We start from the raw sequence: 13,551 nt of genomic DNA, 5'->3' as shown, positions 1-13,551 counted from the left end.
TTCTCCTTGATATGGCAAGTGACTGAAGTCAGCTCTCTCTAGGAAATACAGTGGGGGCACCTGCGGGGCTGGCTATGCAGTGACTGCGGTACAGAAGACAGTGGCCCAGGCTGCAAAGCAAGCCGAGTCCCGGGAAGATCAGGGTGTCCCTGCTGCTCAGACTGTTGCGGGTGTCGTTTTCATTCCGGGACAATGGGGGCAGTGGAGACTGTGCTATGCGTCTCACTGCTCTTGACAACACCATCTCCAAAGCTCCGGGCACCTGGGAAGGTGGAAGTCCTATGTCATTGCTGGGGTGCCCTGGGGCCTGGCACATGGAGCTGGACATCCTAGAAGTCTGTCCCTCATACTGGATGCCGAGGGTTTTCCCTGCACAATGTTTTCCGCAGACTGTGTTCTCTCTCATTAGTGCAAGGAGCCCTGAGTGGAGGGTTTTGGGGGATATTTGGTGGAGGACAGAAGCAATAAAGAAGGTGCAAAAGGAACACTCATTTCTTCCTCTTCACAATTTTTCCAATGATTCATCTTCTCCATTTGAACATCCTTGACAAAGCCGGAAGCACGGATTGTCATGAGCCAAGAACGTTTTCACTGATCATTGTTTCTTCAGGCCGGGTCATAGACACACAAGCCCCCTCCAAAGTAGCCCTTAGCTGTTCCTGCTTCCCGAGTTCTAAACTCGAACTCCTGGGGTTGCCTTCAAGGCCCGAGGCCAGGTGCCCTTGTCAGCCCGTTCAGAGTCCTGAGTCCTGGACCCACTAGGGAGATGCACAGGACTGGGCACAATTTCGGCAGGGCACAGAGGAAAACGTTCCCCTTGGGTAATTTCAAGGAAGAAGTTCAGCGGCAGGAATTGGGGGTGCAGGGTGGGGGCTGGTGCAGGGATGGGCTTTGCTACTGCTCCTCATCACACTGCACCTTAGCTGCTGCCTGGAAGTCACTTACTAACGAGAGGATGGTTCCATTCAGATATGCTTGCTGCTGCTGAAATGAACATATTTCATCTTTGGTTTGCATTACATAGAGTAGTTCTTAAATTATAGCACTAAACAAGGTGCTTCAACTTATTTCCATGAGTATTGAAATAGACGCTAAACATGGCAACTCATTGTGCATAATGTACGAACCTATTTTTATTTAATGTGGCAGTTCGTTAATACCACAGCTCCTGTAACTGCTCAGCACACAACCTAGAATTTCTCAAGCTTCAAGAACAATGGCGAGAATGGTACCAAGGGTCTGTTTGCCCTCCTTTAAAACAGGATTCTCTATGTTTTATCCTGATCAACTTTCATACTTTCTCTGCAGAATTATATAGTGCAAGACATTTGGAGATATCAGAAACCTAGGAGAAAATGTGCTTGAAACATAGATAGTAATATGATCAAGCTAGAAATTAGGAGTCGTGGTCTGCTGTATGTTGAGAAGCATGAGGCAAGACGCATGAAGCTGGCAGAAACAGCATGATTTCAAAATGTATGCTAAATACTAATTTGTGTCATGGATATTTTATCTCTTCTTTCTCTCCCTCCCGTTAATCTTTTCTCACAGCATGCTCAGGCAGAAGAAGATAATAATTAAGCCCATCTGCATTGCCTTTCACTGTCTTCAGGAATTTATGAAATGAGACAGAAGAATAGGCATCCAAAAAGCTCCATTCTGAACGTGGTATGATATTTACATCTTGTGAGTTTAAATAAAATTCACACTGCTGACCCTACTGCCCCAGTGCAGAGCTGTTAGTTTGCGATATCACACTCAGGTTGCACTGTGTCCAGGTGGCAGGATGGAGCTGGATGGGCGGTTCTGCTCAATGGAGCTGGATGGGCAATTCTGCTCAATGGAGCTGGATGGGCAATTCTGCTCAATGGAGCTGGATGGGCGATTCTGCTCAATGGAGCTGGATGGGCGATTCTGCTCAATGGAGCTGGATGGGCGATTCTGCTCAGTTGCAGGAATGTAACTCCCAGAGCTGGTGGTGCCCACTTTTATACAACAGAAAGAGGTACAGTTTCTATCTATCTCAGGGTATTGCCAGAGAGGCTGTGAAGATAAGAGGTTAGGAACTGTGAAAGTTTGGGTATCTCCATGGTATGTATGATCATTATGATTTGAATAATTCTAACCCTCTGAAATTAAAGACACCCAATACTAGGCATGGTGGCTGACGCCTATAATCCCAGAACTTTGAGAAGTCAACCAGGAAGGATTACTTAAGGCCAAGAGGTTGAGACCAGCCTGGGCAACATAGCAGGACCCTGTCTCTGCAAAACAAAACAAACAAACAAAAAATCATACACTTTTTAAAAATCACATTTTATGCAAGCTGCATATATCTTCCTTGATAAGTTATTTCTGTATAACAATTCAGTGTCAGGAAGGGGAATATCACACTCTGGGGACTGTTGTGGGGTGGAGGGAGGGGGGAGGGATAGCAATGGGAGATATACCTAATGCTAGATGATGAGTTAGTGGGTGCAGCACACCAGCATGGCACATGTATACATATGTAACTAACCTGCACAATGTGCACATGTACCCTAAAACTTAAAGTATATTAAAAAAAGACAAAAAAAAAAAACAATTCAGTGTCTACAAATGGAAATTTGCTTAGTGACATAAGTCTTACTAAATTGTCTTTGTCAGTGAAATAAAGGGAAAATATTAGGCGATGGACACACTGACCAAGGTTAGGCTTAGCTTTGAAATGTGAGCAAGGACAACATAAACAGAAAACATTCATTAAGATTCAGGATATAGGATACCTGATACAGGAAACCCAAGTTCAGAATACAGGATTGGATTGTTGTTGCCATGATAAGTTTTGTTTGTTTGTTTGTTTGTTTGTTTGTTTTCACAGTCCCTACTGGCCTTAGGCAGTAAACACACAACAGGTCAAAAACAACAATTTACCATATGTATTTAATTCTATTGTTTCCCAAATTTGACTGGAATAAACATAAAGAACACCAAAGGGATGCAATGATTGTGGTTTTAAGAGTAGGAATATGGGCTCTGGTAGATGAGCTATTTTGGCAAATTTGTATAAGATAGAAAATAGATAAGGTTTATCTAATAGATACATCACAGAAGAAAGGACTCGTCTCAAACACAAATTCAAAGTGAGAGGAAGATATCCTGGCAAAGCTCCCAATTTATTGTTTGGCATTTAGAGAGGGCAGATGTGGGTATGGAGTCAAGGTGGTTAATTAATTAATTAATTAATGGCTATTTGCAGATGACCTGTAAGGTCCTCATGCAATTTCTTTCCTCAAGTTCAAGCCCAAGTTCCTGCACAAAGACAAATGATATCCCAAATCTTCCAGTTGATCTGCTGTGCTGGGCGATGTTTCCAGGGGGGAATGCAGCTGAGTGTGGCACCTGAGGGAGTCTCAACCAATTCAACAGCCCACTGTGCAGCCACGTTGAACTGAAGCTTAGCTATTCACTTCCCAGCCCATCTGCAAAGCGCTTCCCCAACACTGCCCTATAGATTATAAACGTCTGATTTACCAGACTGTGGGTAGAAAAGGAAAATAAATACATCACCATTTTATATTAACCAAAAAAATGTGATTTTGACGTACAAATACACATCAATGAACATACATGTGAAGCACTATGAAAGAAAGTCATGAATAGGAACAATCACAACAGAAGCTGCTGGCCATCAGTACAGACAGTGGAGAACTGAAGAGCACAAAATATACAAAATTAGCACATTTAATTTTCATTAAACACCTTATAGAAAACTTGAGGGAAGCCAATTACAATACAAGAATAGGCTGTTCTAATAAAGGAACTATGCAGAGATTTTAAAAATTAGTCTTGTCATTTGAAGTATAATCATAAATTAGCCAGGCGTGGTGGCACACGCTTGTAGTCCCAGCTAATCAGGAGGCTGAAGCAGTAGAATCGCTTGAACCTGGGGGGCGGAGGTTGCAGTGAGCCAAGATCACGACACTGCACTCCAGCCTGGGTGACAGAGCGAAGCTCCATCTCAAAAAAACAAAACAAAACAAGTCATTTGAAATATAATTATTACAATGTAAAAAAACCAATAGGATATTTATAGTACAAATCTAAAAACACTCAGATAATTAGAATACAACAACAAATCTAGAAAACAGGTGAGCAAGACAATTCATTCAGGCAAAGCCAATGATTCAAGACTGGTAATGTACACTTTATAGGAGGGGCAGAAAGAAAGAGTGGAGACCATGCCACGGAGGATAAACTTTTATTTCAAATAAAAGCTGCACTGTTACAAGCTGAAGAAGGATGACTTTTCATGCAGAAGGGTACACGGAGCAACACAACCAGAATGGATGAGCTACCATGGAACGCAGTGATAGAAGGATGCTCTCAAGAGCTGCCCAGGAAGAAATGAAGAGCGGGTTCCCTTCAAAAGCCTCAGAAGTAGACCAGCCTTGACCACTTTCGTTCTTAAAGGCAATGGAGTGTCATATCAATTTCAAAGGAAGGTACTTTTTAAGATCAAATCCCATATCAAACCAAATTATTGCTCAATAATAAACACAGTTTCAGACAAAGAAAAAGTGTCTTTCTAACCATCTTTCAAGAAAAAATAAATTCAGGGTGGTCCTTGGCAGAACTGAAACTCAATCTAATCAGGATGAAGATGTGAGGTTTGGGGCAGGGGAGGGGAACATTCTTCCGGTGAGTGTGCCAACAATACTCAAACGCCAGTTACAAGTGCAGGTGAAAACCACTTCTATAAAATAAAAACATGGCACAAAAGTGAGAGATTAAACGTGGGCAATTGGATCCAATAAAAGAGTGTAATGAACACAAATATTTTTAACTTTGACAAGAAATTTTCTTTCATTTTAGTGTCACGAGAATTTGTTACGTATGTGACAAATAACATTCAGATAACTATAATACTGTTAATATTGCTTATTCAATTTTCGTGTTTAGAATCATCATACACATACATTGAATGGTTGGAACTTGCCTGTATGCCGCCATTTTGGGTAACAAAAGCAATGATGTGATTAAGTCTAACACGAAGCATAGAGAGGGAAATTAAAAAGTTGATTATGAAAGAGCATTTATGATTAAAGAGGTAACAAAGATAAAACTAAAAATAAGAAAATAACAAAAACATTTGGGAAAGAGAAAGTAAGACAGAGAAAAAATGATACATTGATCTTCTAGTCACAGCTGACTAAACAATCACGGTTGTGTAACAATGATGAAAACAATCACCATTTAAGGGATTGCTCCCGGGGGTGAGGAAATCAGCCTGAGGACTGAAAGGGAAAGACACAGCCCACGGCTTTCAATTTTCATTTAGAATCCAATTTTATTTAAAGAAGTAATTATGGCCAGGTGCAGCGGCTCATATCTGTAATCCCAGGGCTTTGGGAGGCTGAGGTGGGCGCATCAAGAGGTCAGGAGATCGAGACCATCCTGGCTAACATGGAGAAACCCCGTCTCTACTAAAAATACAAAAAAATTAGCCGGGCATGGTGGCGGGTGCCTGTAGTCCCAGCTACTCAGGAAGCTGAGGCAGGAGAATGGCATGAACCCGGGAGGTGGAGCTTTCAGTGAACCGAGATCGCGCCACTGCACTCCAGCGTGGGCGACAGAGCGAGACTCCATCTCAAAAAAAAAAAAAAAAAAAAAAAAAAGCAATTACGAAAATAAGAAAACAACCCCCTGCCCACAGAGCCATAACCATGTGATTCTTCACATTCAAACTTCCTCTAGTATCTTCTATATCTAGAAAGTTTCCAAGACTTAAAAGGAGGGTTGATTTAAAAAAATAGTATCTGGGAACTTCTCTGAAAATCGTAATAAAAATGCACAGCCCTCCACTCTTCCTAACAATCAACAGCGGTCATATCAGGAAAAGTGATTTGAGGGCAGTGAACCCACTTCCCAGAGAAACAAACCATGACTCGTAAAAGGAATTTTTAAAAAGTGTGCTTTAAAGTCTTTGGAAACATCCTACAGGTATATAGCAACTGAAAAGTGTCTCCTCAAGAAAGTCTACCAGGTCTCTGTAGAGCTAAGAAGGGCGTGTGGCCCTCCCAGCCCTGCTCAGCAGGACACAGCTCCACTCTGGGCGGCCGCAGGGTCAGGAGGAGGCTCCCTCTCCTCATGGTCTTTCGGGTCCTGGTGATTTTCTGGGAGGAGCAGGGCACCAGCTTCCTTACTCCCCCTGGCTGGATGTCCCTGAGCTAAGTCCCAGGCGACTTCCATCGCAGGATGCAGCTCTTTCCCTCAGCCAGCCCCGCTTTGTAGGGCAGAAGCTCCTCCCAGGCTGAGGGCTGAGCTTCCTAGGCAGGTGGCCCTGACCCAGCTTGCTGGTGGGTTTCACACTGATAGCAGCAAACCCAGAAGACCAGAGATGGCTTTGACACCAGGCACCCAGCTTTTGAGGCAGGGCACCCCTGAGAGACAGTCCCCCTTGTCTTCACCCCATCCCAGATCCAAGTCAGTGGTTCAGATTTTGCCCAGGGAGAGGCAGGCAGTAAGAACCGAGGCTCCAGAACTCTCTGGGAGAGCTGACTGTATTTAGAACAGACAGTTGGAACATTCAGGCCGGGCAGCATTCCCCATCACAATGGAGATGGTGGTGGCGAGCAATTAGGAGGGCACAGAGAACTCTGTGACAGCAGCAGTGTCACCTTCAGGCCAGCTAATTCGCAAGGAGAACACGGTAAGGGGCTGAGCAGGGCTTTCCTGAGGTCAGAACACGTTCCAAGATCTGCCTCTGAGTGGGGTATCTTTGTGCTTATCCCACTTGGAGACTAGCAAGCTTCTTGGATGTGTGGATTAATGTTTATCACCAAAGTTTGGAAGTGCACAGCCATTATTTCTGTGACTACTTTCTCCTATTTATTAATATTCTCAATAAAGAATATATATATTTATTAAGACACATATACCATATACATATATATATTAATATATAGACAGAGACAAAAAAATTCTCCAGAAAGAAACTAAGCCCATACTTCTTTTCAAACCATATCCTTTGTGAAATGTGTACCTTTATGTAAACCAGAATAAAGCATAAAATCTAAGAAAGTTTTAACAGCATCTAAGGAAATATGAGAAATAAGAATTCACCAGTATCATTTTGAGACAAACGTCAATGCTTGTTAAACTTTTCTCAATTCAAGAATGAGAGAAGACAGCCATAATAAAGAGAATTCCAAAACTATTAAGTATAAAGTATTACGAGATAATACACCAAAAACAGCATCATGAAATACACCAAATCTGTTGCTCCGTGTTTACCCTGAGAACATTTTGACCACATCTCTTTACACTCTCAGAAGTAAGAAAGGTATTGTGGGCTTTTTTAAATAGGAAAGGATAAGGTAGCTACAAGAAACAGGCAGAGATGAAAAGAAAGTTGATTGTGTTAAGAAAAGAATGAGGAAAAAACGATATAGCATAAATCAAAATGACAATAGAAACTGAAAGGAGATTAATCCCTACTGCAGAAGCTCATATCAGTGTGATGTGAATAATGACAGTCATAACTTTTTTCTTTTACTAGAATGAAGCAAAGAAGGAATTTTAGAAATAAAACGTACATAATGAAAGAAAACTTTCTTGAACTGGAAAACAGCCTGACTCTATAAAGCAAAAAACCCTAAAAAACAGACCTCCTTCTGAATGGTGGAGACTGCATTCATAGGAAAGTTGGCCTCTCCCCAAGGCAAAATAAACGAAGAAGAAGAATGTGTGGACACACACACAAACACTCCATTAAATTATGAAGATTATGTTTTATAAAGAAGTTTTCAACCAAAAAAATTGTTCTGTAAAAATGATGGTTTCATTGGTAAAATTGGGGTTAATTCTAGCAAATTTAAGATTCACAAAGTTATTTTGCACTGCAAGAATTTCTACTAAAAATGATTTGGAGCTAATAACCTTGGCATTACTGCAGAAGCTCTGTCTTTCCACACAGCAAGGCTTAGCTCACGTTGCACCTCCTCGATTCTCCTCACTACCCGATCACCAAAACGGTGCTTTTTAATATTTTCTTTAAAAATGTTGCACCCTTTATTAGGACACAGCACAAATCCACTCAAACCTAGCAGCTGTCCAGCATGCTGCAGCTTTTGTTCCATGCTAATTGGGGCTAGTTCCAGATGGGAGTATTAATTACTGATTTCAATTGCAGTTTTACTAATAGCAGTTCATATGATACAAATCTCATTCCCTAATTAAGTGACAGACGACAATATATTCAGTCCATATTATGAAATTTTACTGTCTCCAGTAAAAGCCTGTATTACCAAACCAAAAGAGATACCTTTTCTTTACCTCTACTAATTAAAGACTTTGAGATAATTATCAAATCTCTAAAATTGTGTGGGGGTGGGGGCACAGTTTGGCTTAAAGATTTTCTACATTATTGCATGACAAGATACAGAATAAGATCTGCAGAATTACAAGGAAAATAATTTTGACCCCTAAATTATATAAGCAACTACATATGAGCAACGACATAGCTCATAGCCTGATTTAAAATAACATAACGTCATACCCAAAATACCCTGACTTAATCCGTACATATTCTATGCATGTAACAGAATACCCATGTACCTCATAAATATGTATTATATATATAAAAAACAGAAGCAGTCCAGTAAAAATAACATTAATTCAGATATTCTAGGGCTTCACATGTGTGCTAAGCCTAGACTCACTCTGACCATTTAATCTGAAGTTATACTCTAGCTACACGAGGTATAAATTGGAAGACTATTGTTGTTCTTAACGTTTCTTTGTGAGTTGATTAGTTGATTTTCAGTGGCATTATTATATTAAATTATTGGTGGTGAACACTGTGAGAAATTTCTATGTAAGTTTAATAATAATTCTTGTTGGCTGGGCTCCGTTGCTGACGCCTGTAATCCCAGCACTTTGGGAGGATGAGGTGGGCAGGTCATGAGGTCAGGAGATCGAGACCGTCCTGGCTAACATGGTGAAACCCTGCCTCTACTAAAAATACAAAAAATTAGTCGGGTGTGGTGGCGGGTGCCTGTAGTCCCAAGCTACTCAGGAGGCTGAGGCAGGAGAATGGCGTGAACCTGGGAGGCGGAGGTTGTAGTGAGCCTAGATCACGCCACTGCACTCCAGCCTGGGAGACAGAGTGAGACTCCGTCTCAAAATAAATAAATAAATAAATAAATAAATAAATAAATAAATAAATAAAATTATCATCAACCTCTTTTGAGGATCTGCTGTGATCAAATTGTGATTGAAAGCATTTGATGAAGATTAACTCATTTACTCTTCAAACCAACTCAATATGACCATATGCATGCTTTTAAAAAAATTTTAAATTTACATGCATAATATCACTATCAATTTCACACTAAAGCAATGAAGGGAAATCACATATCTGCAGGCAGTAGATATTAGGAAGTATTAATATGAAAGTCTATTAATAATTTTTAGAAAACAACTGCAATTTTATTTCTTACATCGAAAATTACAGCCATATAAATGTTAACAGATATCTATTATATTTAAATGCTGAGATATTACACTTGCAAAATGACTGGAGGAAAACAATAGTACAAAGAAAGACAATATGTCAGGTAAAAAATAAGCAAAATAGGAAGATATTAAAATATGAAATAAGTTTACAAATTATAGCCAGATATTTTTAGTATTACAATAAATGTAAATGAGATAAATAGACTTATTGAAGAAAAAACACTCTAAACTTTATTTCTAAAAATTACATCCAACTAAATGGAGTATTGCATTTCTATATACTACTAGCAATGAGCACGTGGGAACTGAATTTAAAAACACACTGCAGTTACAATCACACAAAAATAAAATATCTAGGTATCAATCTAACAAAAGATAGAAACAGTTTATATGGGTTTGTACAGGTCAGCTGTCAAACGCAAAGGTAGATAGGGAAGCCAGAAGGGCAACAAAATTATCAGACACATATAGTGTATCCTTTCCCTTCCTTTCACTCAATATAAAGACCATACAATATTCCTCTTGGATTCGTTCTGATAATATATAATTACTGAGTTTAAATCTATCATGCTAGTATTTTCTCTTACTTTCTTTCTTTCTTTCTTTCTTTCTTTCTTTTTTTTTTTAATGGAGTTTCACTCATGTTGCCCAGGCTGGAGTGTAGTGGTGCAATCTTGGCTCACTGCAACATCCACCTCCAGGGTTCAAGAAGCTCTTGCTTCGGTCTCCTGAGTAGCTGGGACTATATAGGCACACACCACCACACCCAGCTAATATTTGTATTTTTAGTAGATATGGGTTTTCACCACATTGATCAGGCTGGTCTCGAACTTCTGACCCCCTGTGATCCACCCTCCTTGGCCTCCCAAAGTGCTGGGATTACAGGCGTGAGCCACTGCGCCCGGCCTGTATTTTCTTTCTATTGACATCATATTGTCAGTATTTCCTTTTCTTTTATTCCTTCCATTTTTGGATTAATTGTTGTATTAATTTTAATTTTCTTCTCTCTATTGGCTTATTTGGTATATTTTGACGGGTTTTTTTTAGTGGTTACCTTGGTTATTACAATATGTATTCTTGCTTCAGTAAAATCTAATGAAAAAAGTAGTATTCTTGCTGATACCAGAATAATTCAGTGACCACAGTACATTTCAACTCCATTTATTCTCTTCCTGGTTTTTGAACTATGGTGTTCATGTATTTTACTATATATGTTTATAACCCACAAAACATTATATTGTTGTTTTAAGTGGTCAATAGGTAAATATCCAATTCCATTAATTCACACATTTTCTTTTTCACAGATTTTTTATATTTTTCCATATATTCATGCATCCTCTTCTTGCTATCCAAGAACATTTTAGAGCTCTTGGAATAATGCATTAATGTGTTTCGTTTTGAGTAATTAATAAATTGAGTAACAATTTTTTCTATTTTACTTGCTTGCTTGCTTGCTTGAGGATGTTGTACTTTAGTCTTCAGTTTGAAAAACGTACCTACTTATTTTCTTTTAGCTCCATATAGTTAAATTCTATAGTCTGGCTTCCACTTTTTTTGGCGTTTTTGTTTATTTGTTTGTTTCTATTTTTATTTTTTGAGACAGGATCTTTCTCTGTCACCCAGATTAGAGGGCAGTGGCATGATTGTAGCTCACTGAAGCCTCAACCTTCCCAGCTCTATCAATCCTCTTGCCTCAGCCTTCTGAGTAGCTGGGACTATAGGTGCACACCACCATGCCTGGCTAATTTTCATTTGTTGTTATTGTTGCTTTTGGTAGAGATGGGGTTTTGCCACACTGTCCACCCTTTTGGTAAGAAGTAATCTATCAATCTTATTATACTGCTTTGAAAATGTAATGTATCTTTTCTCTGGTTACCTGATTTGGTTTGGCTCTGTCCCCACCCAAATCTCATCTTAAATTCCTATGTGTTGTGGGAAAGAACCAGTGCGAGGTAAATGAATCATGTGGGCAGGTCTTTCCCATGCTGTTCTTGTGATAGTGAATAAGTCTCATGAGATCTGATGGTATTGTAAGGGGGAGTTTGCCTACACAAGCTCTCTTTGCCTGCTGCCATCCATGTAAGACGTGACTTGCTCCTCCTTGTCTTCCACCATGATTGTGAGGCCTCCCTAGCCACATGGAACTGTAAGTCCATTAAACCTCTTTATTGTGTAAATTGCCCAATCTCAGGTATGTCTTTATCAGCAGTCTGAAAATGAACTAATACAGTAAATTGGTACCAGTAGAGTGGGGTGCTGCTGAAAAGATACCTGAAAATGTGAAGGCAAATTTGGAACTGTGTAACAGGCAGAGTTTGGAACAGTTTGGGGGGTTCAGAAGAAGACAGGAAAATGTGGGAAAGTTTGGAACTCCCTAGAGACAAGTTGAATGCTTTGACCAAAATGCTGATAATGATGTGGACAATGAAATCCAGGCTGAGGTGATCTCAGATGGAGAATGAGGAACTTGTTGGGAACTGGAGCAAAGGTGACTCTTATTATGTTTTAGCAGAGACTGGCAGTGTTTTGCCCTTGCCCTAGGGATTTGTGGAACTTTGAAGTAAGAGGAATGATTTAGGGTATATGGTGGAAGAAATTTCTAAGCAGCAAAGCATTCAAGAGGTGACTTGGGTGCTGGTAAAGGTGTGCAGTTTTAAAAGAGAAACAGAACATAAAAGTTTGGAAACTTTACAGTCTGACAATGCAATAAAAAAGGAAATCCAATTTTCTGAGGAGAAATTAAAGCCAATTGCAGAAATTTGCATAAGTAACTAGGAGCCAAATGTTAATCCCCAAGACAATGGGGAAATGTCTCCAGGGTATGTCAGAGACCTTTGGGACAGCCCCTTCCATTACAGGCCTGGAGGTTTACGAAGAAAAAATGGTTTTGTGGGCCAGGGAGTCCCTCTGCCATGCGCAGTCTAGGGACGAGATGATATCCTGCCGCCCAGCTGCTCTAGCTGTGACTAAAAGGGGCCAAGGTACAGCTTATGATGTTGCTTCAGAGGGTGGAAGCCCCAAACCTTGGCAGCTTCTACAATGTGTTGAGCCTTCAGGTTCACAGAAGTCAAGAATTGAGGTTTGGGAACATTCACCTACATTTCAGATGATGTATGGAAGTTTGCTGCAGGGGTGGAGGCCTCATGGGGAACAATTGCTAGGGCAGTGCAGAAGGGAAATGTGTGGTTGGAGCCCCCAAACAGGGTCCCTACTGGGGCACTGCCTACTGGAGCTGTGAGAAGAGGGCCACCATCCTCCAGAACCCAGAATGATAGATCCACTGACAGCTTGCTCCATGCATCTGGAAAAGCCACAGACACTCAAAGCCTGCTTGTAAAAGCAGCCAGAGGGGGTGCAAACCCCCTCCCTGAAAACCCTGCATACCCACAGGGGCAGAGCTGCCCAAGGCCATGGGAGCCCACCTCTTGCCTCAGCATGACCCGAATATGAGACACGCAGTCAAAGGAGATCATTTTGGAGCTATAAGATTTGACTGCTCCACTGCATTTCAGACTTGCATGGTGCCTGTAGCCCCTTTGTTTTGGCCAATTTCTCCCATTTGGAACAGCTGTATTTACAGGCATTGGCCTGTACTCCTATTTTATCTAGGAAGTAACTAACTTGCTCTTGATTTTACAGGCTTATAGGCAGAAGGGACTTACCTCGTCTTGGATGAGACTTTGCACTTTGGACTGTGGACTTTTGAGTTAATGCTGAAAAGAGTTAAGACTTTAGGGGACTGTTCGGAAGGCATGATTTGTTTTGAAATGTGAGGACATGAGATTTGGGAGGGGCAAGCATGGAATAATATGGTTTGGCTGTGTCCCCATCCAAATCTCATCTTGAATTCCAATGTGTTCTGGGAGGGACCCAGTGGGAGGTAATTGAATCATGGTGGCAGGTCTTTCCTGTGCTGTTCTAATGATAGTGAATAAGTCTCATGAGATCTGATGGTACTGTAAGGGAAAGTTTCTCTGCACAAGCCCTCTGTTTTCCTTCTGCCATCCACGTAAGATGTGACTCGCTCCTCCTTGCCTTCCACCATGATTGTGA

At 40.7% G+C, this 13,551-nt stretch overlaps 1 non-coding gene across 1 annotated transcript, besides 2 other annotated features; it reads left to right on the top strand.

The window, feature by feature from the left end:
• Positions 1-864: 864 nt before the first annotated feature.
• On the top strand, positions 865-935 carry MIR6072 (microRNA 6072). Its single transcript, NR_106720.1, has one exon. It is a non-coding gene; the product is annotated as a microRNA 6072 (primary transcript).
• Positions 5,660-6,159: an enhancer, noted in NCBI's record as "H3K4me1 hESC enhancer chr10:2112989-2113488 (GRCh37/hg19 assembly coordinates)". NCBI's record gives its function as "activates a minimal SCP1, AML or CMV promoter by ChIP-STARR-seq in naive H9 embryonic stem cells {active_cell/tissue: H9 hESC(naive)}" and the evidence as "EXISTENCE:reporter gene assay evidence [ECO:0000049][PMID:30033119]".
• Positions 6,160-6,661: an enhancer, noted in NCBI's record as "H3K4me1 hESC enhancer chr10:2112487-2112988 (GRCh37/hg19 assembly coordinates)". NCBI's record gives its function as "activates a minimal SCP1, AML or CMV promoter by ChIP-STARR-seq in naive H9 embryonic stem cells {active_cell/tissue: H9 hESC(naive)}" and the evidence as "EXISTENCE:reporter gene assay evidence [ECO:0000049][PMID:30033119]".

The sequence above is a fragment of the Homo sapiens genome, chromosome 10 (assembly GCF_000001405.40).
Source record: "Homo sapiens chromosome 10, GRCh38.p14 Primary Assembly".
Classification (NCBI taxonomy): Eukaryota; Metazoa; Chordata; class Mammalia; order Primates; family Hominidae; genus Homo; species Homo sapiens.
The sequence above is the reverse complement of the archived record's forward strand: the minus strand, read 5'-3'. Positions and strand labels throughout refer to the sequence as shown.